The sequence below is a fragment of the Homo sapiens genome, chromosome 7 (assembly GCF_000001405.40).
Source record: "Homo sapiens chromosome 7, GRCh38.p14 Primary Assembly".
Lineage (NCBI taxonomy): Eukaryota > Metazoa > Chordata > Mammalia > Primates > Hominidae > Homo > Homo sapiens.
In genome coordinates this window covers 94339151-94367115 of record NC_000007.14, presented here as the reverse complement: position 1 = coordinate 94367115, position 27965 = coordinate 94339151, and the positions used below count along the sequence as shown (strand labels likewise).

Genomic DNA, 27965 nt, shown 5'->3' with positions numbered 1-27965 from the left:
ACTCACTTTAGTGTTCACCACATCCGTCATAGCGCAGGCCGGAGATAGGCTCTGTCAAGCTGACTTGTCCTTGGTTCTTCCTGCATAATGCCACTTCTTGTTTGTGGTCTGTGGAATTCCTCTCCTATCTTGGCATTTCTCTCCAGAGGTCAAGACCTCCTCCTGGAGGCTTCTCTCTGGCAGGGACTCATGAACTGCATCTCTCTCTCCATGTATCTCTTACCTCTTAGGTAAGACTAGTAATGCTTTAAGTATGAGGTCTAGGGCAAACTCAAGAAGAATACACCTTTGAATCTTTTCATATAGTACCTAGGTTGAGTTAGTTTTGAGAATTAAAGAGGAACTTAAAGGGCAGAGAAGGTTTTTCTCACTGTAAAATTTTGACACCAAGTAGATACTATCTAATCTACTCAGCTCTGAGTTTAGACCCTGTAGTGACCTATAAATTCCTGTGAGAATCAATCTCATAGAGGATTTTCTTGCAGGTACTGCGATTGTCAGCCTCAACTCAATCCATAGCTGTGGACATTGCATATCTGTGGCTTGCATTATTTGTGTGATTGTGGCACATTTTTTGGATTCTAGATTGGGGGAAGCACACTTGAAAAGATGAAAAGGTGGATAGCAGGTTTAAAGAAAGGGAAAAATTTGGAAAACTAAAACAACTTCCCAAAGTTACCACACTTTCCAACTAGTCACTATTCAGCTTTAGACCCTGTTTAAATCAAGTTTTTGAATGCTCTGTCAGCACTTTTACATTAATGAAGCGAGATCCTCACACGTACCAGTAAATGCTCAGCTTTCCTTTCATGCTGAATTCAGTTTAACCTCTCATCTCTTACCCTCAAAAAGGTATATTCTATATCATACAGCATGATCAGGTCAGCTCAGCATCCTATCGATGTACATGATGATGATGGTACATCTCCTCAGTGCAGCAAAAATACATTTTGCACATTGAGCTGATACTCTACAATGATGAAGAGTTGACCATACACCAGTGTGCTGCAACCAGTTGAGAAACTGCCCCAGAAAGCCCTCACTTTCTGACTATTTCCAGCCTCAGCTTGAAGGTCTATTTCAAATGTAGGCATTTGAGTGGTAAAAATCTATAATTTTATGCATTTTTCTGTTGCTGATTCTTATGAAGAACTATGAAGGGTTGGAGATTTTATCCTGCTTGCAAACTAACAAGTAAGCCATCCACATTAAACTTTCCACAGTTTCATGAATACTAATAGAAAACACAAGACTCCTGGGTCAGAGACAAAGGATTGTTTATTATTTACGGTAATAGTATCGGTCAGAGTAAACATTTTTTGATACTTCTCTGAGCCCCATAGAGTGATGTAAAAACGGGCCAAATGACATTTGCACGTGCAGTGGGTTGGATTCTAGGAGAGGAAAACTGAATTTAGGGAACCCAAATATTTTACACTGGGCGGTAAGTTTTCCTTTATTTGCTTGTAGGGAGGCATCATCTCTCTTTTACTGGATGAGAAACATGCCTGCCCTTTGTTCCAGAGGGATATACCATCTGTTTCTTCTAAGGCTTTTCACTATATTAACATTCTTGAAAATATAGCCTAGAATAAAAAAGCAATTGGTGTTTCTCTTGAAAAATGTGTAGAAATGTGAGACCCACAAAGAATTGTATCGTAACAATTTTGTACTTCTAAAAGAACTAGTAATGATCATTTTTAGGGTAAAGGACAGCTGAATATTTTCCAGCCATAATCCTAATTCTATCCTAGGTCATGTTATGTTTCTGTAGGATTGTTTATACTGGTTTGGGAAATTAAGGAGGAAAAGAAAGGGATGAGAAGAATTGTGCTTATGTGCTGAATATATTCAAGGACTAAGAACTTGTTGGTTCTTGGTAATGATAAGTAGTGGAAATAAATGATTCTAAATGGTGACCTCTCTTTTCTTTTTATTGCTCCTGAGTCCATGCCTGAATAAAGTACCAGTGGATAGTGTTAAAAGAAAAATTTCTGCTGAATTCAATTTAAAATAGTTTAATTGAGCAAGGAATGATTCACGAATCAGGCAGCCTCCCGAGCCAGAGTAGGCTCAGAGACTCCAGCACAGCCATGTGGTGGAAGAAGATTTATGGACAGAAAAAGGAAAGTGAGGTGCAGAAAATGGAAGTGAGGTACAGAAACAGCTGGATTGGTTACAGCTTGGCGTTTGTCTTATTTGAACACGGTTTGAACAGTTGGCTACATTTGATTGGCCCAAATTCGGTGACAGGCACAAGAGCAGGCTATGGTCTGTTTACACCTCCACTTGTTATAGTTCATGATGTACAGAGAAACCTTTAGGGCAAACCTAAAATGTGTAAGGAGGCAGCTTTAGGCTAACCTTGATTTAACAGTAGTATATTTCGGCTGTCATCTTTCCAGTGTTCAAACATTACCCAACTACTGTAAGATCATTAAAATTTTTATACCATCCTCCCCTGCAAACTGGGGCACTAACTTTACTACTACAGCTGGATTCAAACTTTAGAAATTGGTTCTGTAATTGTCATTGGAAAAACATCCATTTATAGACTGGAAAGAAATTACTGTTTTGGCAGGTCAGAACTTGTAACCTCTTTACTAATTAAAAATGATATAATGAGTTCTAAACTTCAGCAGACTAAAAATACAAAGGAAGAGAACTTTTTACAAGTGGAAACATTAAAGGGGGTTCATATGGGGGGTAAAGAAAGAATAGCAATTAAAATAGTGTCTCCATTTCAAAGGGGCTCCAGGTCAATCTCCTCTCTGAATGAAACAGCATTTTCTCAGTGAGCTGTTGGTCTAGTGAGCAGTTAATTTTAAATAATGGTTTTGTATGTTCTGGGAAATGTAAATAGCAATACGAGAATTATCTCCTTCTCCTTTTTCATTATATTTTCCTCTCTCCAAGATGGATTGTATTGCAAGGTTAGAATGCATATGGGGCTCTCTCTGCTAACCAAAAAAAGCTGCTTGATGAATGCTCTAGGAAAGCACAGCTTCAGCAGATAAAAAGAATGGCAGGGAAAAAAGATAAAAAGAATGGCAGGGAAAAATGACTGCATTGCAGTCAGACAGATTATTTTCTCCCCGAGGTAAAGGACAGCTTCAACCTTCTTTTTTTTGTGAGCTTTCTGCCTGCCATTACTCTTCTTCTGGGTATCCACCATGAAGTAAATAATTTCCAGGTGGTTTCACTTTGGAAAACTAAAAACACCCTGAGAGAATTTAGAGAAAACAGACATGCTCATCAGAAATGATGATAATAGGAAAAATTTTCAGATAAACAGGGTTATTTTTTAGTATAAGTATATTCCTGTTTTTTCTTAAATCTCACAGGCCCATATGTTTATTTTTACTTCTTTTAGTGTGACTACTAGAAAATTAAAAATTATGTATATGACTCATATTTCTATTAGATAGTATTTCTCTATAATAAGTATTGTTAATATGACTTCCCTAGAACACAAACTTCATGAAGGCAAGGGAGGTTTTTTGGTTGTATTTGCCAGCAGAAATGTAGCTAATTTTTTGACTGTAAGAAGTATAACATGCTTTTTCTTGAGAACCAAATTGATTGGTTTTGTAAGAATTGTTTAATGTTGGAGGTCAAAAAGCTCAGGTATCATGGTTCTCTCCAGGATTCCCTGCATTCTCTCAACCCATTATTCCTTTCCTTTCTTAACTTCCCTGCTCAACCATGAGTCCACACACTATTATTTCAGGAACACCATGTCCAGTATCATTAATGCATTCTCCTATGGCTTTTCATTGTCTTCAATGAAACATGTCACATGTCTCTTTAGGTTTCATTGGAGAAATAAGGTCAGTACCAGATTAACCCAGTGATCTGCACTTCCTGTGGTTGCATCCAACAGTGCAAGGTGACATTGGATCTACTCTAAGTGTACAGTCAACAACAGTAAATGGATCTTTCACATTGCTGCATCTTTTGTTCAACTCCCACTCCCATTTTCTGAAAAGACTTTTTCAAACTCTCTGTTCTTCATAGTCCTCCAACTTTTCTACTTTTTTCATTGCTCTCAGAGATGTTATTTTCAAGAGAAAATAGCAACTGTTATATAAGATTGGGATATCTCATCTTCCCTTTTCCAAATATACGTAACTGCCTACATCTGTATCTAATTTATTCTCCTTTCCTCTTGTTTAATAGAAGAGCTGTTTGCATCCTCCCAACACTAACATATTCAGTTGCACTTTAGATTTGTACGCCATCTCCACCTCTGTCTCCCTTCCTGCCCCACCCCCATCCTGCACCACCCCCATCCCCACCATTTTATAGGGGAATTGGCTTGTACGCATCACTGAAGTATAATTATTCTTGCTAGATCAACCATAGCCTCTGCCTCTCTAAATCCAATGGGCATTTCCAGGCCTCCTCTTACTTGACCTTCCTGCGGCATTTGTCATCGTGGATCATTTCTTACTCTTCTTGACTTCCTGAACACAATCCTTTTCTGTTCCTACCTCTTCATTGACTTATCTTTGTGGGCTTCTCCTTCTTTCTTTTGACATTAAATACCAGAATTCCTCAGTGCTTGAGGCTGTTTTTTCCTTCAGTATCATGATCTTATGCTTTCTCTTCATGTCTCTGGCTTCCATTACTGCCTATATGCAGATGACTCACAAATGTCCAACGTTAGCTCACCCCAGACCTATATTTCTCTATGACAGTGCAAAACTGATGTCTGAAAAATACCTCAGGCTCATTATATCAAAATTGAATTCTTTTTAACAATCTAATTCTCCCCAAACCTGGTTCTTTAGAAGCATAATCTGTTTCCATGAACTCTGCCCTCTCACCTTCACAAAGTTCACACTTGCATTGCAGTGGGGCATCTCTCCAAGCCTCCTCTGATGTTTCCCCCAATAAATTGATTGCACATTTAATTCCATCTTATTATCTGTTTTTTGCACTAACATACAAGGCAAACAGAAACCTTCATTGGAGGATGAAGTAACAAAGATACAGCTAATACTATAATAGATCTCATTGATCTCAGTATCTTCATTAAAAAAATATTTATTTATTTATTTTTGAGACAGTCTCACTGTATTGTCCAGGCTGGAGTGCAGTGGAACAATCTCAGCTCACTGCAACCTCTGCCTCCTGGTCTCAAGCAATTCTCCTGCCTCAGCCACCTGCGTAGCTGGGATTACAGGTGCACACCACCATCACTGGCTTATTTTTTTATTTTTAGTAGAGATGGAGTTTCGCCATGTTGGCCAGGCTGGTCTCAAACTCCTGATCTCAAGTGATCCGCCTGCCTCAGCCTCTCAAAGTGCTGGGATTACAGGTGAGCCACCGCACCCGGCCAGTACCTTTATTTTTATAGGCAAGGATGTTGAGGCTTAGAAATCCTGAATTGGGATGGAAATGAAAAAGACCTATCATCTTCAAAATCTATAAGATAGGCTCTGTTACATTACCTCACCTGTTTCACAGCTGGTAAATGTAATCAGGTTTTTTTAGAGGTATTTAGTATATCTATTTCAAATATGTTTTTAGACATTTTCAAAGATTAATTTTAATATGATCTTTAATGATATGTGACATACACAAAGAAAACTGTATGAATCATAAGTGTCCAGAACAACAAATTTTCACAAAATAAGCACAACTGTATTATGATACCTTACAACAAGATATAAACAATCAGCACTAAAAATCACCCTTGGGCTCCCCTTCAGGTCATCACCACTCCTTCCTTTCTACTGGAAACCACCATCCTGACTTCTAACATTAAAGGCTAATTTCTAATTTACTTTCATGAAGTAGCTCAAATAACATTAAAAAAATAGATTTCACTGTGCCCCAGAAAAATAAATAAATGTACCTACAGCAATCCACCATGAAAACCTCAGAACCCATTTTGTTCACTATTTCGGTGCTGGAGTCAAGCAAGATCTTTTCCCTACTCTGATTTGGTAATACTTTGTAAGACAGACATGACATCTTTGCCAGAAATTGGGTGTGTTCATTCTGGTGTGTCACCTTGGAAACGTTACTTAATATCTCTAAAATTCATCATACTCATCTCTAAAATGAGGACAATAATGTTACATACTAACATTTCCATCATCATGGAATAAATTAATGCATACAAAAGTCATATCATGGTGCATAGAGCACAGTATAACTTCAATGAATGCTAGTTTTGTGGGAATTATTTTGAGAAATAGAGTCTTGCTCTGTCACCCAGGCTGTAGTGCAGTGGCACAATCATGGCTCACCTCCTGGGCTCAAGCAATCCTTCCATGTCTGCCTCCTGAGTAGCTGGGACAACAGGAATGTACTACCACATCTGGCTAATTTTTAAAAAAGCTTTTGGTAGAGACAGGGTCTCACTATGTTGCCCAGGCTGGTCTCAAACTCCTGGCCTCAAGTGATCTTCCCTCCTTGGGCTCCCCAAATGCTGGGATTACAGGTATGAGCCACTGTGCCTGGAACAGGAGTTATCATTAGTGGCACTATATGTGGAATTTCATACCGAAACCTTTCAGAGGCAATGTACTTAGTTGGTGACTTCCTATACAGCCTTTGGCAAATGACTTAACTTTTGAGTGTTTAAGTTTTGCTTCTTTTCTAAGAATACAAGAAGTAAGAAAGAATTAATGAGTTGTTTTTGAAAGTATTGAGCCCTACAGATAAGAAAATGAAAGATGCTTTTTAAGTATGCAAAATAGCTTTTTGTTTGAAAGCACAGCAGTTTAAAGACTGCTATCCTCACTATCATCATGAGAGATTGTCTTTTTGAAAGCGTTAATGTCATATTGACTTTTGAAATCCTTCAAGAATATTTGGATTAGATTCTAATATAAAAATTGTCTTCATTCTAGAAAGAGAAATAGTTAGAAGAAATATATAGAAAAAATAATCTAAAATTAGTTTCTTCTGAAGGAATGAGGTAATGAGGTTAATAATCACCAAGGCACAAATATACATATAAGGCTAGTTATAAAAGGGAGGGTTTGGGAGGCACAGAAGAGTAAAGAATCCTGGGATCCAGTTCCTTCTTTTTTGCTATGTAGTTGCATGACCTTGGGCAAGTCATGTTACTTTTTTAGGGCTCAATTGCCTTGTCTATAAAATGAAGTTTTTAGCTCAATAACTATGCTTCTATTGGGCATACCACTTTTTATAATATCTTCCAAAAAATTTATTTTATTTTATTTGGTAATTGTTTTATTTTAGATTCTGGGGATACACATGCAGGTTAGTTGCATGGGTATATTGTGTGATTCTGAGATTTGGGATACAAATGATCCTGCCATCCAGGTAGTGAGCATAGTACCCAACAGTAAATTTTTCACCTCTCACCTCCACTTCCCCTTCTAGTGGTCCTCAGTGTCTGTTGTTGCCATCTTTATGTCCATGTTTTCTCGATGTTTAGATCCTGTGTATAAGTGAGAAAATGAGGTATTTGGTTTTCTGTTTCTGTGTTAATTCACTTAGGGTAATGGCCTCCAGCTCTACCTCATGTTGCTCCATAGGACATAATTTAATTCATTTTTATGATTATATAATATTCTATGGTGTATATGTGCTACATTTTCTTTATCTAATCCACTGTTGATAGGCACCTAGATTGATCTTATCTTTGCCATTGTAGATAGCATTGTGACAAACATAAGAGTGTATGTGTCTTTTTGGTAGAAGGATGTATTTTATTTTGGATATGTATACCCTGTAATGCGATTGATTGTTGGGTAAATTGGTAGTTCTGTTTTAAATTCTTTGAGAAATCTCCAAACTACTTTCCAAGGCAGCTGAACTAATTTACATTCCCACGAACAGTATAAGAGTTCCCTTTTCCCTGCACCTTCACCAGCATCTGTTTTTCTTGTTGTTGTTGTTGACTTTTTAATAATAGCCATGTTGGCTGGTGTAAGGTGGTATCTTATTGCGGTTTTGATTTGCATTCCTCTGATGATTAGTGATGTTGAGTATTTTTTCAAATGTTTGTTGGCTGCTTGTATGTCTTCTTTTGAGACGTGCCTGTTCATGTTTTTTGCCCACTTTTTAATGGGATTATTCGTTTTTTGCTTGTTGAATTGTTTAAGTTTTTATAGATGCTGGAAGTTAGACTTTTGTCAGATGCATCATTTCAGAATATTTTCTTCCATTCTCTATGTTGTCAGTTTACTCTGTTGATAGTTTCTTTCACTGTGCAGAAACTCTTTAGTTTAATACTAGGTCTCACACATCAATTTTTGTTTTTGTTGCAATTGCTTTTGACGAGTTAGTCATAAATTATTTCCTAAGGCTGAGTTTAGAATGGCATTTCTGATGTTTTCTTCTAGGATTCTTATAGTTTGAAGTCTTACATTTACATCTTTAATCTATCTTGAGTTAATTTTTGTATATGGTGAAAAGTAGGGGTTCAATTTCATTCTTCTGCATATGGATAGCAAGTTATCCCAGTATCATTTATTGAATAGGGAGTCCTTTCCCCATTGCTTGTTATTATTTTTAGTAGAGACAGGGTCTTGCCATGTTGCTCAGGCTGGTCTCAAACTCTGGGCTCAAGTGATCCTCTTGCATTGGCCTCCCAAAGTGCTGGAATTACAGGTGTGAGCAACCATGCCTGGCGCCTCCATTGCTTATTTTTGTTGACATTGTCAAAGATCAGATGGTGGTAGATGTGCAGCTTTATTTCCAGGCTCTCTATTCTGTTTAATTGGTCCATGTGTCTGTTTTGTACCAGTACTATGCTGTTTTGTTTCTGCAGCCCTGTATTATAGTTTGTAGTCAGGTAATATGATGCCTTTAGCTTTGTTCTTTTTGTTTAGGATTGTTTTGGCATTTGGGCTCTTTTTTGGTTCCTTGTGAATTTTAGAATAGTTTTTTCTAATTCTGAGAAAAATGACATGGGTAGTTTGATAGGTTTAGCATTGAATCTATAGATTGTTTTGGGCAGTATGGCCATTTTAGTGATATTGATTCTTCCAATCCATGAGCATGGAATGCTTTTCCAGTAGTTTGTGTCATCTATGATTCCAGCGAAATATTTTAAACATATATGCTAATTATTGATGGAACAGAGATTTTTGAAGGATGCATAATCATAATCAAAGCAAAGACTAAAGACCAAATCCAAAACTCTGTGTGTGTGTGTATGTGTGTTAGTGGTGGTAGTTCAGGCACTGGAGAGAAAGGGGCTTAAACAAAGAGAAAGATGTTACAGTAGATGACAAGAGAATGAGTGTTTATAATGTTAATTCTAGATCTCTTGTTTCTGACTGTAGCTTCAACCTGAGAGTCCTCAATTTGGAATTAAGACAAGCAGTGTGACACAGTACAAATAGGCCTGAAAACACCGTGAGAAATCTAGTTTCCAATCACTGTTCTCAGTGATTAGTAATGTGATATTTGACATGTCATTTCACCTCCTGGGTGTTCTCAGAGGTAAAAAGAGGTGGCTGGGCATGATTACTCAGGTCCCTTCCAGTCCTTAAAGACTGAATTCTTAAGAGGAGAGTGACCAACTTTACTGTGGTGTGGGTATTGGGTGGAGTGGCTTCATGGCATTTTGGGATCAATCTGAAGTTTGTAATTAAAGAAGAGTTCAGGAAGAACTATGTTACTTATTTTTAAAGGACATTTGAAATATTTCTACCACAACTTGTGTCTTAATCAGCTATATTCACAATAATGCTATATACCAGCCGCTGCAAAATTCAGTGGCTTCTAACAAAAAAGTCATTTCTTTCTCGCTTGTGCTTCTGCAGGTTGACTGAAGTTTGGCTCATGTAGACTAGACTTCGTTCCAGGCTGTGGTTAGCTTTGGGTGTCTCTATGGGACCAGTGAACTATCCTGGGTATGTGGACTGACTCAGGGCTATGTAGACTTGCAGAGGGAAAGTGCAATTGCTCAAGCAAATTTCAGTTTTTCCACCTAGGTTGTTTTTGCTAATGTCCAATTGACCAATGTAAATAATATGACCAACCACATAGTTAAGGGGCTCAGTAGTACATTACACATCCATAAGACCATGGCAAGGGTACAGATGTGTAGCACTACTAGAGGAGAGTAAAGAATTTGGGCCGATAATTAAAATTTTGACAATGTGACCTATATGTATATGGATGTGTAATGGAACAAGGAAAGCAAACCAGGCTTCTGGTGGGTTAGGTGAGAGAACAGCATAGGTTTGAGTGGGGAAGGATCTAGGCTCTCTAACTCCATGTCAATAATTGACTAACTTGTATAGACCTAAGTTCTATACTCACTAGTGAAGTAGTTCCTTATAGTCTGATTCAGTGATGCTCGTAATGAATTTCTATAGAAAAACTATTCTTTTCAAAGTCGATGATGACCTCCATTTTACCAAACCCCATAATCAATTCTCAATTCTCACCTTATTTGATCTATCTGTGGCATCTGATATCGTTGAACACTCTGTCTTCCAGGTACATTTTTTCACTTGGCTTTACTTCTGCTTGAAGACCATTGCTCAGAACTAGTGACATGGGTTCATCCAACTTCAAGGAAAGCTAGCAAATTAAGGGAAGAGCAGGTATTCAGGGAGCACTGACTGCTTCTAGCACATGCTCTGAAGGATTCTCTGAACCTGCTTCATTTCCCTTGGTTCCATAATTTTGGGGTGTGCCTCCTGGCATTGCATCTCTACTATATATTGATAACATTCTCTAAAGGTAAGAATTCTCTAAAGAATACATGGATAAAATGGCCCTAAAGGGAACATAGAAGGAATAAGAAAGAAGCAGTGAACACATATATGGTACTGGTAGTATTTACTAGCTGATGACCTCAGCAGATTATTTAACCCCATTGTGCTTCAACTACCTTGTCTGTAAAGATAGGAGTGATAATAATAGCACCCGCCTCATAGGATTGTTTTGAGGACAAAATTAATGTACATGAGACACTTAGAACAGTGCCTGGAACATGGAGAGCACAATAAGTCCTAGCTATTATTATTTCATGAACAATTAAATTCTGAATAATAGAGAACTGAAAATAAAAGTGATTGTAAATTTATAAAATTTTAAATAATCTCCTGTATAAACCCCAGACTAATGAAGAAGGTTCTCATTTTAATATGTTTTATTACAAGGATTATGGAAACCCATAAAAAGTAAACACAGAATGTGTTCCTTCCCTGCACATGTGGCACTTTGGCTGGAGGTAAACATTTTGTTTTTGGAAAAGCTGAAAAAGAGCAAGGCAAAAGAGCCAATGAGTAGAGGGCACTTAGGATGTGTTTTGGAATTGCACGCCATATTGCTTTATTGAAACTCTCATTCAGTATCAACGGACTGTGTGATGAGGGTCCCCAGGGCGAAGGGCCCCATCAGATGCTTTCAGAGAACTCAGGCCCGCCCCTGCTGATGTGGCTCTGTGATGATGGCTTGTCTTCTAAGTTGTCAGCAGGAAGACATTCTTGCTGCCTTCTTTCCCTCTGCATTGCCAACAAGGAAGAACAGCCGGGGAAAATGAGACAGAATCTTTTTCCAATTACATAGTATGCATATTTTATTTCAGCCGCCGCCTGTGAGAAACATGATCCTGAGTGATTTAGTGGTGCTGAGGCAAAGCCAGCCTATGAAAGATTTGGAAGTACATTGGTAAATTTCCAGAAGATTATTTGGGTGAAATGGCATGGTAGGTTAATTATCAGATTGAAAGCCTTTTAGTTGCTATAGAGGAGATACCACAGTCCCAGATACAGTCCCAAATTACTCTTAGAGCATAAAATGGTAAAAAAAAAAAAAAAAAAAAAAAAGTGAGAAATCAATGTGGGTTTTTAGACTCTAATTGTTTTGAAGGGGAGAGGGCAGAGCTTTTAGAAGACAGGTGATTTACTTGGTGGCACTTAGCTGCTAACTTTCACTTTAAGTAAGGGTATATGTGAGTTGACTCCTCATTCACATCTTCATATAACTCTTATTTCTTCATAAATGTTCCTCAAGGAGAAGGCCAAGTTGAAATTTTCCTTGTGCTGAACTAAGTAAAACATCAGCCAAAATTCCAGCCAACAGTTTTTGCAAAGGCATAACTTCTGAACCAGAGTCTAAACAAAGTGAGTTATGTTTTATCTTCCTATCTCTTTCTCCCTCAGGTCTTATCACCTTTGATCCTCCTTTATTTCTTTACCTTGGATAAATCATTTTTTTTAATCTTTCTTTCTCCTTTCTCCCCTTCTTGTCTGAAAAATCCTTTGATAGCTTATAATGGAGCAGAATGCCATGCTGGGCAAGAGGTGGGAGGTGGAGGGAGATGAAATGCAGAAGACCTTTTATCTCTTCCCAGGAAATATGCAGACTTCTGAGGGTGATGCATGTGTAACATACCTTTACAATTTAGGGCATCTGGATTGGGGGTTTTTGTCATGCTGAGGTCTGGAAGGTCTCTCCCAGGCCTCTTGATTAGGGATATAGGCCAGTATAAACTCCAGCTTTGCTACTTACTAATTGGGTGACCTGGAAAAAGTTACTTAAATTCTTAAAGGCTAGTTTTTCCAATCTGCGAAATGGGTATAATACCTGGTTAGTTGAGGAGCATTAGTAAGGAGGGGATTCAAGTACACAGGAAGACGAATGAGCAGCCTACTGTAATAGTAATACTGTAGTAATGCAGGCAAAATGAGGATCTGCAGTAAAGAAGTATGGACAGTACTAATGGGAATGAAGGGGAGAGTGAAGAAATATCAGATTGATAGAAATAGAGCTCTTAGGTACCAGTTGGAGATGAGAGGGAGTGGAGGAGTCAATGGTAGGGATGATTTTGAAGTTTCTGACTTTGGTTTTTGGTGATGCCATTAACTGGGAATAAAAATTCAGTGCAGGCCAGGTATGGTAGCTCATGCCTGTAATACCAGCACTTTGGGAGGCCGAGTCAGGTGGATCACGAGGTCAGGAGTTCAAGACCATCCTGGCCAAGATGGTGAAACCCTGTCTCTACTAAAAATAAAAAAAGAAAGACGGACATGGTGGCGGGCACCTGTAATCCCAGCTACTTGGAAGGTTGAGGCAGACAATTGCTTGAACCCAGGAGGTGGAGGTTGCAGTGAGCTGAGATTGCACCACTGCACTCCAGCCTGGGTGACAGAGCGAGACTCCATCTCAAAAAAAAAAAAATTCAGTGCAAATATAAATATAATCTATTTTGGGTCTTTTGTTTCAAAGCTCTTGCAGAATATTCATGTGGAGATGCCCAGAAGGTAATTTGAAATGTAAGTCTAGAGAAGTCATCAAATATCAACATGTATTTACTGAGCACGTAATATGTGCTAGATAATCTGTGAAACACTGGATATAGGATAGTTATAAAAAGACTTAATTACCACTTTACTTTCTACTGGAGGAGAAAGATGTAAAATAAATACACAGTGAAGTATGTAACTAAAAATATATGCTATGGAAAGGAAAATCACAGGATGCTATGAAAATATCTAGCAGGATATGCTAATTTAGACTGGGAAGTTTGGGGAGGTCTCTGCAGAGACTTAATCTGTGACTGAGAATGAATTAGAATTAGGTGGTTGTATTTTACTCCTAGACTGTAATTTCCATGAAGGTGGAAGCTTTACTGTTCACTGTTCTATCCCTAGTGCTCAGAGCAGTGCCAGGCATGTGGCAGTCTTTTAATCTCTATTTGTTGAATAACTTAATGAAAGAACAAGTAGAATGGGTGAATTGAGATTTCCCAGGAAGAATACATAGAAGGTGCTGAAAATTGACCTCCAAAGAATAGACAGAAAAAAAATGTGACGTTTCTGGAGGAAATAAGTATTGGACAGATAAGTAAAAGAGAAACAGGGTGTGTCAATTAGAAACGTATTTGGCTGCAAGTAATAGAAAACCTGAACGTAGTGGCTTAAACAAAAGGAGTTTCTTGTTTGTTTAGTTCTTTCACAAAGCAAGAAGTCTGAACATGGATAGTTACGACGAGTGCTTAGATTACCACCATCAGCCCCAAGTTTTGCCATTTTCTTGACCTGGATGCAGGTTGTCAGCTACAGCTCTGGTAATTATGTCTACGTTTTAGCAGAAAGAATGAGGAAGTGGAAGCAGTGATGCCTATATATTTGTGGAAACATTAGCGTAGATTTCACTTTACATCTAATTGGTCAAAACCATGTCACACTGAAAGCTGGAAGGTAACGAAGGAGAAGGGGTTGGAAATGCAGGTTGGAGCACTTTGCCAGTGGTGTCTGCTATATTAGGCAAGAATAATATCTTCAAAATCAAGAGAGAAAAAGTTTCAAGAAGGCAAAGTGGCAACAAAATCAAATATCACAGAGGTTGAGAAAGATGAGCTCTGAAACAAGACTATGGATGTGATATTTTGAAGGGCAGAGACCCTGCCCATTATGCTCTTTGTTGTATTCCAGGCACCTTCTCCAGAGCCAGGGACAGAGTAGGCAATTAATCACTGACTAGGGAAATTAATCTGGTTGCGGTGTATTAGATGTATTGCATGCATAAAGGTCTATATTGATCATCCAGTATAAATTAAATTCTAATTTTCTCTAAGTAAATACTTTCTGGAAAGAGTAAGCATCTAGAGAGTTATCCTTCATATGTGCATCAGAAACCAGTTAAAAGGAATAGACTAGAACTTAAAAAATATTTCCCCAAAGCTCAATGAAACAAGAGAAGAGAACTACCTGGAAGAATGTCCTTATTTCTGTAGTTTTAGTAGCTGTTTTTGGTAGGTACAGATGGTTTGTAGTCACAAGAAAGATCTTTCTGCATCATTATAGTCATTTATTTATGCTCTCTTTTTATAGGAAAGATTTAAAGCAATTTTTCATCTCATAGGATGAGAGGGAAATTCCTATGAAAGGCATTTTTGTTATTGAATGTGTTTAATTAGTATCTTATATTTGCATAACACTATGCAATTTACAAAGCACATTAACTACATCATCTCATTTGATTGTTTCAATTATATAGGGAGGCGATTAAGGCAAGTATCACTAACACCCATTTTATTGTTGAAAAAAATTCAAGAGATCTTAGGTAAGTATTTTACTCCAAATCATATATATGTGTAATAAGAGATTGAGCCAAGAATTGAACACAAATTTTAATTCCTAATTGAGTGTTTCACCAAATAAAGTTTGCTCCCAAATACGTAGAATTAGTTAGGTAGTATTATTGTGTAATGGAGAAAAATCATCACGTGAAACCTCAAAATCAGTAGCTGCTTCTGCTTTCCGCCTTGTATGGGTGGCAGTGCATACTCTGTATCAGTAGGTAAATAGAGTTTTGAAATGCTTCCTTTGCAGAGACTGCTAAGAAAGGATGAAAGGGAACAGCCATTCTGTGTTGATGAGAATATTAATTGCAAGGCATGCCTTATCCAGGAACCCTGTGTTATTAAACAGTGTTCTTCATGTAGAATAACCACGACCATAACTCACCCTTTTCCACTGGAGACTCACATAGCTCAGCCTGCCTTTCATTTATGGCATTCTCTGTACATAGTCAAGTCTTACCTATGCATTATTTTGCTTGAAAATAAGAACAAACTTCACCACAGAGATAAATTATGGGTGTACAAGGTAGCTTGATTTGATTTAAAGCCTGAGTAGAATTTAGCATCTCAGGATTTAGCATTTTAACTCTTCAGGGAGCATGGTTTTCCTTGTGGATTATTCTGTTTTCCTTCCGATTTTACATTTCTACTTCAATTTCAAGATTGGTTTTTACCTGATTTCCCTCCTTTCTTCTGGAATCTTCAGCTTATCACCATATGCAACTATTCCATGTACTTTGAGTCTTTTGAGGGCAAGTGTTGATATATTTATTTAAATCCTTTAAACTCCCTACCTCATCTTGCTTGTGATCAATGAAATAATAATGGACACACCTTCTTAAGAAGAAAAACTAACTATAAATCTACATGTGGAATTATAATTCCAGTGTTTTATTTTGTGAGGAAAAAAGATGACAAAGAAGAGAAATAACTCACTATTCTATAAAAGATACTTATATGGTAAATTATTGCCCATTTGATTTGACAAAGTCTGAGTTTGTGGGCCTTGAGGCTGGGAGCAGTTCTGAGCTGCCTGAGAGATAAATGAGAGCTGCTGATCCAAGTGAGCAATGGAGCTGAGAGACTCACTTGTCACTAGGTGACTTTGTATATTATGACTCTGTGTGCTTGGAGAAGCCTTGCAGGTGGACATGTGCAATAAATCAAAAGTAAGCATATCCGGGAGAGAACAATAGCTGTGTTTACACCCTTACCAGGTTATGTTGACCCTCCCTAGTGGGCCTTCTAGAAGTGTTAGATTTGAGGACTTGCTAATAGTTTATCTGAAACAGCTTTTGAATTCATTTATAAAAGTTTTGAAGATTTATTTTATACTTTTTTTCTAGGGTTCAAGGTTCAGTGCATTCTCTCATTCACTCAACAAACCATTTTTGATGTTTTCAGTGGGCCAGATGCTGGCCAGCAGGATGCAAAAATGGACTAGGCACTGTCTTTATAACTAAGAAATTTATAATCTAATAAAGAAGGTATAAGATCCATGGACCATGAAAGAAAAAAATAGTGCAGTACAGGAATATTTATTAATAACATTTTATATATTAAATAGTTAATAGATGGCATACTGGAATAAACATGAGGAGTAGGAATTTATAAAACAAGCGGGCAAAAGAAAGGAAGGCTCAATACAGATATACTCCCATTCTGTATTATTGATTCCTTTCATTTGCATAACACTTTTTTGAAAATAAATTGATTGCTTGTGGTGACATTCTGCTGAAATTAGTCATAAGGAATCAAAAGAATAATGAATTTGTTCAAAAAGCAAGTACAATTATTGGAGTCTACAAATAGGCAAAATTCAGCCACTAAAAACTGATGAATTGGTTTATTTTTAACTGTGTTTGCCCATATTAGAATGTGTACAATTTGTGGCACTAGAATTTGAGGATAATATAGAGAACTTGGAAAGATTCAGAATTAAAGCTCAAAGCTATGTTAAAAATAGGTCCTTAATGCAACAGCACCAAGTGGCTTGGGAGAATTTAACTTTCCAAGCTCCCTAGATAGAGATGCAATGTAAGTAAACCAGTGCTTGACACCCACATGCAGCTTCAGGACAAAGGTTGGCATTCTTTCCAATAACCAGATTATTATCCCCAAAGCTTTTTTTTTTTTTTTTTTGGAGACAGAGTCTTGCTCTGTCGCCCAGGCTGGAGTGCAGTGGTGCGATACCGGCTCACTGCATGCTCCGCCTCCCAGGTTCGTGCCATTCTCCTGCCTCAGCCGCCGCAGTAGCTGGGACTACAGGCGTGTGCCACCACGCCTGGCTAATTTTTTGTATTTTTAGTAGAGATAGGGTTTCACCGTGTTAGCCAGGATGGTCTTGATCTCTTCACCTCGTGATCCGCCCACCTCGGCCTCCCAAAGTGCTGGGATTACAGGCATGAGCCACCGCGCCCGGCCTAAAGCTTTTCTAGCAGAAATTCTGGAGCCTCGGAATGTCCCTAAGTGATGGAGAATAAGATTTATATGGAAAATCTATGGGATTTTCAACATCTGCTCTGCCCTAGGTACTCGAAAATATTTGTCAAAATGAATGAAGGTAGAGATGAGAAGTGACTCAAAGACTAACTTAGCTACTATTTCCTATATTTCCTCTGTACCTCTTTTGGATTTTAAATAGAAAATTATTATTCATTTTTAAATATTTTTAAGAACTTCCCTCTACCCACCCTACCCCCCGAAAAAATTCAGTGTGCAATATATACGATTTGAGGTATATACATAGAGTATTTCCTTACTGACCTGTTGGACAAGAAGGAATAGGTTAACTTATAGAACCCTTTTTCAAAGAGTAGCTCTTCAGTAGTCTGGGATAGTTTTCAGGAGAATAACTTGAAGACCTACCAAAGTCTCTTTTTGTCTCACAAGTAAAAATATAGGACCTATCTTCATGTGGAAAACTTAATGATAGCTGAGTAAATTACAGATTCAAGGAATCATGAGGATAAAATAGCCTACTAATTAATCTCCTTGCAAACAGTCTTCATTTTCTTTTTACACATATCCCCCTGTTTTATTAACATCAGTCTCTGAAAGCTTTTCTTTATTCGCTTTAACATGCCTTCATTGAAGACCTTCCGTATATGAGATCCTATTGCTAGGGGTTGTGGGAGAAGACAAAAATTATTAAGAGATGGTTACTCTTTTCTTTTAAAGAGCATACAACCCTATTGGAAAGGAAATTATGACCTTCAAGGATCTTCAAGGCTGAAGCTCATGATTTTTAATAAACTTCCTTATTCAAGTATTAATATCTAATCTTTTATGATATTGTATATCCATGTTTCCATTGTTCTCTGCTCCTTTCCCCATGCAGAAAAATGGATGACTTAGGGTCACAGGCTATTTGGTCAGCACAAGTTTGGCTGTAAATATTTCCATACCAACTTACTACACTCTCTTTCTCTCTCCCCCTCTTAAAATTTTACCTATATTAAAATTTGGAGGTATTTATTTTGTGGTAGCCTAATTCTGAATAGTCAGTTTCTCTTCAGAATGCAGTAGTATGTTGAAGTGAAACCATATTTTGGCTTTCTACAAGGGTGTGGGCTTCTCCTTGGGTTTTCACATTTTCCTTTGTGCCTCTTGTGAAATGGTTTGTGGAGACTGCAAAAAGCAAAGGCAGACTCCTTGCCTCACTCCGCCCCTTTCCAGCTCATCATATTCTTATATAATCCAAGAGAAATCTGCTTTTGGTTAGAATGCAGTTGAGGGCAAAGTAAAAAAAAAAAATTTGGATACGTTAAATGTTCCAAGTTTGTATGAAAGTTCTGTCAAAGCAACAGCCTAAATGGAGGCAGCTGGAAATCATTAAGGAAACTTGCAGGAGACAGTGATTAAAGCAGGATGGAATTTCCACTCTCCCCGCCCCCTCTCTATTTTTATGGTACTTTAAGCAAGTTAGTGTTCCTTTTGAAATTTGAATTAGCCCTCTGACTATGAGAGTTGGAAAATTATTTTATTCCTTTACTTCCTAGAGACCACTCCACTGATTTCCGAGGCTGTTACTGCAAATGAATAAATGAACACATTTGGAACTAACTGGTGCTCAGCAGCGGTGTGCCTCATATTTCATGATTATCCTTGCATCTTCCTGGTCTGAGTCTGATTTGAAATGATAACCACTGAGTAACATTAAGAACACTTTGTGGCTGCTTTTCTAGTCTTATATGATAACTGAAGGGTACTTTTTAAGACCCCAATTTTTCCTTTCCTCCTTTCTCCTTTAATGGTTGCACCATTTTTCATCACAAGAAATAGTTGCAGATGAGTGCCTCCTAGTTCTTTTTTTCATTCCAACTTTCTATGGGTTCAACCGCAAGGCATACTGGGATCTCAGCAGCAAAGGGTGATGGGACAGGTAGAGGCTGAAGGCATAACTGGGAAGGGCTGGGATTCCTCCCTGTGGGTGTGGCATGACCAGTTTTGATGTGGGCTGGTGTTGCTACAGAGAGGTCGAATCTGGTCGTTGGGGCAGAGTGGAGGAAGCACAGAGCTGGACAGAACTTCATGTCAGGTGATGTGCATTTGAGAGTCTAAGAGATGAATCTGTCAGGAAGGTGACCCTGGCTCATGGTAGGGCATGCGGGCCAAAGAATCCAGGTCTCTGTGGGAAAGCAGGTTACCATTACACAAACTGGTCAGTTAATAGTGGGCATGAGAAAAAAATCATGATGGGCAGGGGGTGAAGAGTGAACCCAACCCAACATCAGCTGGTACTGAACTCAGGGCAGCAAAATGAATTTACAGTATTTTTTGCCTGCCTGAATGAGTTAGTTGGGGACTGGGCTTCAGCAGGTAGGGACTGGAGAACCTGGACAGAATTTTCTTCCACTGGACTACATGGACATCAAACAATTAAGTGCAACCATTCCCTCATTGTTCGTGGAGTGGAATATCTACAGTAAGACTAGGAAATAGAACTTATTGGAGGTTTTTTCTTGATGTGGGAAAATAACCTCATTATAGTGAACAAGCAGGTCTCCTGGAATGAAATCACATGACAGCTTTAATCTTTCCCCTATTTCTTTTAGCCCACTCAGTAGGACAAATTTTTTTCTGTTCTTGAATGAATTCCAGGAATGGCACAGTGGCTTTTTTCGATCACTCCACTTTCAGAAAATGAGAGATCCTTTGTGCTCTTCTAGTCACCCAGAAAGTTTTATTTTGGCCCCTAAAATGTCTACTTCTATGTAATACCTTAATAGTAGTCAAAGTTGAGGCTTCTCATTTCATTTAACGTAGGTCTGCAAGAGGTGGTAGCCTGAAGTGGGAAGGGCAGACAGGATGATCTCTGTCTCAGGCTCCCCACCTCCTGCTTCTGTGCCTCTTCCTCCTCCTCCTCCTCCTCCAGCTTGCTAATTGCAGTTTCTGACCCCTTTGGGATTGGAGGGAGCTGAGAGAGAGAGGGGAGGTAAGAGAAAAGCAAAGGCATTAGTTGATCACCACTGAAATTAGTTGATGTCTCTCAACTAATGATGATGTGCTCTCTGGGCTTGGCAGGTGTTTAAAGCTGACACTTTCTCCTGGCAAACTTTGGGGCATTATTTGAAAACTTTCCACCCACCAACCCTGAATCACTAGGGTACCTAGCCTGCAGTTCTTTTGATGTTCAGGGATGTTCCTCCCTATAGTTGCTCACTTACATGATAGTCTCCTAGTGCTACACTCCTGTGTTGGGGATACTGTGTGCCTCTAGGAAGTTATTTTGGGCAATATTTAGAGGACCTCAAGGTTGATTCTTTTCTGTTAAATTCATATAACTATGCATATTCTTTACCTCAAGAAATTCTGTTGTAACCTTTCTTCATGTCAGCTTTTCTTTGTCTTCCATCAGATCAGAATTACTAGTCAGCTAGCATTTCCCCATATTCTTTTGTCCTCTGACAGTACCTGGGGCACACCTTGAGCTCTCTACATGGTCCCATTGAAGCCACATTCCCTGGGCTTGAAATGAAGGAAAACACACCTAATCCTTCTCCCCATGGGAGTTGTGTGGGACTCAACACTCATTAACAGCTCCCTCACAAAATCCACTTTGTAAATGTCAATTTCCCTTTCAGCCTTTATTCTCCTTCATAGGCTGGAGGTGGGTGGTCTGGTCTGGGTCAAAAAAATTTTTTTTTGCTTTGCCATCTCTTAGCAAGCCTTGTATAGATGGTATCAAACTTCTCGATGGGTTGAAGGAATGCTTAACACTCATTATCTTGAAGCCACTGCACAACTAAAGAGAAATAATCAATTTTTTAAAAAATCTTGTTAAAACCTGATTCAGATATTAAGGGTTTATTGTTTTCTTGTAGGTAGAATCACCAAGAAAGAATGAGAGTTTCCTTTTTCCTCCCAACTTTATTACCTTTGAAGACTTTTTAAAAAACAATTTAACATATGTTCTTTATTTTCACAGAAGTCCAAAGTGCCAAGCTAAACCTCATATATGAATCTATTATTAAGACATAACTTTTGCTAAGACTAACAAAACAAAACACTAATTTGGCAGAGGTCTTAAAGTCTGTAGTTGAGTAGACAAACTATTAGATTGATTAAAGAGATTGTCACACAAGGACAGTCTCCTAATTTGCTGAGCATTGTATCTCAAGGTTAAAAAATTCTGGCTACATCTTAAAGCAGGGAAGATCAATTAGAACATTCATTAGATTCCTATTTACACTTTAATTGTCAACTCTGCTCATTTGTTGGAAGCCTTTTTTAGTCATTAGTGTCTGTCAGTAAGAAATATGTCTTAATTTCGCTTATATTCATTTATTCATCCTTTCATTCAATCAACAAACATTAATAATGTGCCAAGCCCTTTGTCAGCTTTTAAAAGTATACTAATAAAAAAGTCAAAGCTTACCCTCAAGGATGTATTCACCTCAAATTCTTATGTAACCAAAATTAGTAAAAATGTGTTACGTTTTACTAAAGTTAGAAAAATAATTGCCTTTCACAACAGAAATATATAAAGATGACCCTAATAAATGTACATACTGATCATTCTTTTCTGCTTGTGGTTTTAGCCCATGATTCAGGTTTAAAATATTTAAGGGTGCTTCATTTTGGCTGTTATTGGCCTTGCATTCTATTGTATATTGGGTAGCTCTTGAGAGCAGGCACTGTGTGTCTTCATTTGGTCTCTGTAGGACCACTAGAGGGTTAGTATGCCCCTCATTTTCTGTTCAGGAGAAGAAGGGGCCTACCTCACCATTGGAGTGTAGAGAGTGGAGTCAGTTAAATTTTCCAGATTCTAAACAAAGTGGTTCCTGAGTACAGCTGCTGGTGGGACTCTCACAGAAGTGAATCTTCAGAGGAAGAATATAAGCTCTCCGAAATCATCTACATGCTATAGGCACACTTTAACAGTTTTCAGATGGCTGATCTTAATGTCTAACACAAAGTTTTTGGTGTTTCTGGACAAGATCTGGGCCAGGAATTAGGAACACAGGAACTAGGTCCTGCTGGGTGCGTGGCCCACACATTTCTGAACATTTAGCAGTCAGACTGCAGCAAGAACTTTTTTCTCTTGGGGTATAATTCCAGTGATAAAATAATTTTGCATTAAAGGTTGAACGCTAATTGTTCAATTTGCTCTAGTACATCTAGTGCTTTCTTGCACCCACAATGGTACCAGTCACTGTGAAGGTTACCGAAGACACATTGACCATAGTTCTGTGTATTAGAAAGGCATATAACAACAGAATATGATGGCCAGAGGGCCAGTCCAGGAGCCTACCAGCTGCTCTGCCATGAACTAAGTATGTGAAATTGGTCATGTCATTTCATTTCTTTGGGCCTCAGTTTCTTTTCTTTCAAGATATATTTATGTTATTTAATTTGAAATATCTGGAAATATTTCAAACACAGAAAAGTACAACAAATACTATAACAAACACTCATATATCCACCAATGAAATTTAACAGTTGTTATCCTTTTTAAAAAGGGGTGAAATGTTACAGAAAAAGTTAAAATCCACCCTATCCTATTTTCTCTCCTTCCTATCCCAGAGATAACCGCTGTCTTGAAGTTGATGTGTGTTCTTGCTACCCAAATTCTTGTAATTAAAAAAACTATCTAGAGTACTATTTATGTGTTTTTAAATGTAAACAAATTGTGTCATATTGTTTCTGTGTTTTTGCAACATTTTTTGTTCACTTAATATTATATTGGTAAGATGCATCCAGGTTGATACTTTTGGTTTTATTTATTCTTTTTATCTATCTACCGTACCATTAAGTAAATATACCCCCAAATTTTCCCTTTCTCTATGCTTGAAAATTTAGGTTGTTGCTGCTTTTCTACTATTTCAAACCATGCTGTAATGGACATTGTTGCTTACAGGTCTTCTTGTGCACATGTCTGAAAGTTCTTTAGGGTAGAGCTTCCTAGGTTCTCCAATGGTGTGCTCAGACTTGGTGTCACTTTGGGTCTCTGGAAGAGCAGATGGAAAGATGAGATTAGATGTTTAAGAAATTTATTTTGGAAAGTGCTTCTGAAGGAGAAAGAAAGAAGGATGTGGTAGCAAGAGTCTTGAGATGTCAACGCAATTTTGACACCTGTGAAAGAAGAGAGGAAAGGGAGTGTTGGATTGGAAAACTCAGACCCCAGCACAGTTCTGAGACGATATACCCCAGGTTCATGGGAACTCCTCCACCAAAGGTTGTTGGTTGGAGGAGTCCAGTGTCAGGTAGGAAAGGGCTAGCTCTACTACCCTGTGCTATGCTCAGGCATGGGCTAGGGACAGCTAGGGAAAGCATGAATCCCAAAGGTGACAGCTGGAGCTAATAATCAGCTAAGTTGCCAGCATAGTTTTCTTGAAGGAAATCTTAGCAACACACCTGTACGGCCAGTGCAGATAGTGATTGCCTCAGCCCACAGTGGCTGAGAAGGGCAGAGGCAGCCAGAGGTCTGACCAATTGTGAGGTCCCAAACCTCTAGGAACTGTGGCAGGGTTACTTGGAGCTTACCATTCCTGCCAGAATAAATCCCTCTCTCCTGTTGGCTCTGGGGATTCCTCTTTGTTTCTTTGGAGGTAGACTATGTATTGAACACTCTTTTTCATCCTGTTTTATCATGTATTTCTATATGGCTGAACAGGAACAGGTTCATGTTTCCTCAATTCTCCACGTTATCAGAATTGAAAGACTTCATTTTCTTCATCTATAAAATGAGAGTCTCAGACCGCAGCACGGTCTGAAATCAATGATCTCAGGCCACTTTCTGCTTTATTAATCTGATTCTAATTTTATTTTTTAAAGTACCAAAACAAGTGGGCAAATCAATGATGTTCTATGGAGTAATGTAGTCAGAGATAACATAAGGGAAAGCTAGAAATACAAGTCTTGATTGGAAAATGGGAACAGCATGAACTGATAGACCATTTACATTTCACAAAGTAGAGGTATTATTTAAGTCTTTTAGTAGACATCTTTGAGGATAGGGTTCCTGGCTAATTCACCTTAGTGTATCTGACCCTAAATACACTGCTTGGGCCATAAATTATTTTTTAAAAAGTGTATTAATTTGAATTTAGTTGAAAGAAGAACCAGCACTATTGTTCATTGGAGGAGAGGCTTAGTTCTGCATTTAGAGACTTATATTTTACATTTTAATGATATGTGTAGGTAGAAAGGGTAAAAGTTAGAGTAAAAGTAGTTTATCTTAATATACATATATTGGGTAGAGAACTAAGCTTAAGTAGTGACGGACAAGAAGGTAGAGCTTGGACCAGGACTTTGGGGTGAGATGATCTTAATTTCATTTTAGAATAGTTGGTGCGATGGAATTCATCTGACAAAGTTATGGAAAGGTAGACAAATTACTGAGTTCTCTGAAGAAAACGATACAATGCTCAAACTGTCTATAATAGCAACAACTTATGGGTCTTTCTATATATGGCTATTCAAGTCATTTTCTGACAACAGCCAATAATATTATGGAAATGGAGGCAAATGGTCCCAGACTGACCAAGTCTTAGATACGTAATTTGCAAAATTCACCATTGTCATTGAATCAGATGCCACAGAGGCTAATTTTCCATCTTTATGACTAGAGTTGCCCCTTCCTCAACAAGTCTGTTTTAAAAACTACACTTCCTTTGTTCAGCTGAGTCACAAAGACTTTTCTTCGGTAAATGTATTGTACATTAAAAAACTGATCTCTGTGAACTCAGTTTTCTCATTTAGTAACTGTAGCATTGGTGTTAATGTCAGTATAAGTCTGGTTGTTATAACCAAAGCAAGAGGATGTCTCTCAGTGAGTTCACATGTATTTGAGTCTGGTGATTTAGGATTCTGGGATTTCCTATTCTTTCCTAGCGTTTATAAATTCAGCTTCCATTTTCAGATTTCCAAAGGCCACTTGAGGCTTTAAGTAATTCCTCTAATTATAACTTAAAGTATAGGCAATTGCATTTCATGAAGCTAACAATTATCCAGAGTATATTATTAGAGAGTGAGTTATTGAAGTCTGCATAGTTTGTGAAACACCCATGAAAATAACTGGGGAAGAAAAGAGATAAACTAGATTGGAACAATGAAGCTTGAAAACAACTCTGATTATGTCTGGAGTTTACATGGTAATGAGTCCTAATTCTCAGGCTTTAGAATTCTTTGTAAAAATCTTTATAGTCTCTCTTGCTTGCCCTTATTCAGAAATAGAGACGTTGGCAACGTTTTCATTAACTTTTAAAATATAGACGCTGAGTGCTAATGTGGCAGCTTACTATGCTTTTGCAGACTGCGTTTTATGTAATTTTAAAAATTTCCCTGTGACATAAGCAACAATGCTCCCTTGAGAATGGATGCTAAGGGGGTATAAGCAATTTACCCAAAATCACATAGTTCAGAAGTAGCAATGCTGAATTGCAACCCAGATCTTCTGCTCTAGAATCTAAACAAAAAAGCCCATTATGTGATCATATGACTAGAATGGTAGAGCAATTTTTCAGTATTGAGAGGCATTTTTCAGATGATTTTAAAAATTTGAGTAAGCAAATACTCATAAGAACGACATCAGAAAATAAATACTTTGATTTAAGAATCAGTGCCAATGTGTGTGTGTGTGTGTGTGTGTGTTTGTGTTTTACTGACCCATTTTTTCCTAGTCATACTCACATGTCCCTATAACTTAAGGATGATGATGATTCTGGCATAAAGGAGAGATGTATTTGCAGTCAGACATGGTTTGAATTCGAACCTTCATTTATTAGTTACCTAATCTTGGGCAAGCTCTTTGGTTTACTTACTTGTGAAATGGTAAAATAATAATAATAATAGCAACCCAAAAAGATTTTTATAACTGTAATTCAAGATGAGATTTGGGTGGAGACATGGCCAAACCATATAACTGAGCAACTGGGCAGTTTTCAGGGGGGTAGTAGGCAACACGTGGCTTTTCCATCTGTAGCATTCCTTTAAAAATATAAAATAAAAAGCATAAGTTACCTCAGATATGATGCCTATTACAATGATGATTTTATAGCTAACATTAGTTAGCATTTATTGAGCACCTGCCATGTGCCAGGCATAATGAACTTTGCATAATTTCTCAGATTTCTTATAACAACCTTGCTATGGACTGAATCATGTTCCCCTACATTTGTATGTTGAAGCCCTACTTCCCAATGTTGTTGTATTTGGAAGCAAGGCTTTTATGGAAGTCATTTAGGTTAAATGAGGTCCTAAGGGTAGGGCCCTGATCCAATAGGATTAGTGTTCCTATAGGAAGAGATACAGAGGGCTCGCTCTCTCCATCATATGAGGACACAGTGAGAAGGTGGGCATCTGCAAGCTAGGAAGAGAGCTCTTACAAGAAATTGATCCTGCCAGACCTTGATCTTGAACTTTCAGCCTCCAGAACTGTGAGAAATTAATTTTTTTTTCTAAAGTCACCCAGTCTTTTTGTTATGGCAGCCTGAGCTGACTAATGCAATCCTTTATAGATGAAGAACCTAAGGCTTACTTAGATCACTAAGTTAAAGAACTGACAGTATTCTAATCCTGTTTTTAACCTCTCTGTCTTTTCCAGCTCAGGGTGAGATTTGGGGGCGGGGGACTGCTTTGTTATTTTTTCTCTAACCACAAGTTTGCTTCCATTTTCCCCTTCTATTTTTGTAGTCTTTCTTACAAATTATTCTCTCAACACTCAGCACTCTCAATTTTCTGATTTCTTCCAAAATCGTATCTCCCACCCCCATGCAAGCATTTTGTTATTGTCTTGTGTCCTCTCTCATCTCTTCAAAGTGTTTTCTGAAAACTGTTTCCTCTCTCAGCCTCTGAGGTTTTTTTCTCACTTATCAAGTGTATCTTTCCCTATCTCTATTACAGTGTTGTTTCCTCAATGTTTTCACTTAGATAAACATCTCCTGAAAGACATTGGCTTTTGTTGTTTTTGTTTGCAACTTTGGGAAAGTTCTTGGTGATCTGAGGTGAGAAGTAATGAGAAAAATAGGCAGATAATTTGTCATTTTCCTAAGTCAAGATTTAGTGATTTAACCTCCACTTACTATCCAGTTTTTAAATAATTTAAAGATGATTTATTTTGTGTTATTTTTGTAAAAAAGCATTCTACCCATTTCTCTGCTAATTTAATTATGAAGCAGTTCTTTCAAATTTTGAATTCTCCACCTGTGGGGGTGCAAATGTCCCCATAGCTTATAGAATTGCCAATATCATGACACACGGTAATGAACAACAGACACGTTTTAGTCTTGAATACCCAGGGCCATCCTACTGTTTACATTACTCATTTCTCTCATGTAAGAGAAAAATAAAGATACTCCCCATAGATCTTCCATTTTTACCAATTTTGTGAGTCATTCTTTCTTTCCTACTCTGTTACCTAACCCTGTAATAAATCATCAGGTCTCAGAGCTACAACTTCTTAAATACTGTGTCTCTTGCAATC

At 38.0% G+C, this 27965-nt stretch overlaps 2 long non-coding RNA genes across 2 annotated transcripts in view, besides 1 other annotated feature; one reads left to right on the top strand and one right to left on the bottom strand.

The window, feature by feature from the left end:
* Positions 1 to 6416: 6416 nt before the first annotated feature.
* The window catches only part of LOC112267858 (uncharacterized), an 84173-nt gene continuing 62624 nt past the window's right edge, over positions 6417 to 27965 (top strand). The window contains exon 1 of the long non-coding RNA XR_001745273.2: positions 6417 to 12074. This is a non-coding gene — a long non-coding RNA (uncharacterized LOC112267858). The remainder of the gene's footprint in view (positions 12075 to 27965) is intronic.
* Positions 17548 to 20466: an enhancer, noted in NCBI's record as "VISTA enhancer hs1626". NCBI's record gives its function as "enhancer in: branchial arch[6/6] | facial mesenchyme[6/6]" and the evidence as "EXISTENCE:transgenic organism evidence [ECO:0001131][PMID:17130149]".
* The window catches only part of LOC107986821 (uncharacterized), a 35929-nt gene continuing 28016 nt past the window's right edge, over positions 20053 to 27965 (bottom strand). The window contains exons 3-4 of the long non-coding RNA XR_001745275.2: positions 23398 to 23489; positions 20053 to 20456 (exon numbers count right to left, since the gene is read on the bottom strand). This is a non-coding gene — a long non-coding RNA (uncharacterized LOC107986821). The remainder of the gene's footprint in view (positions 20457 to 23397; positions 23490 to 27965) is intronic.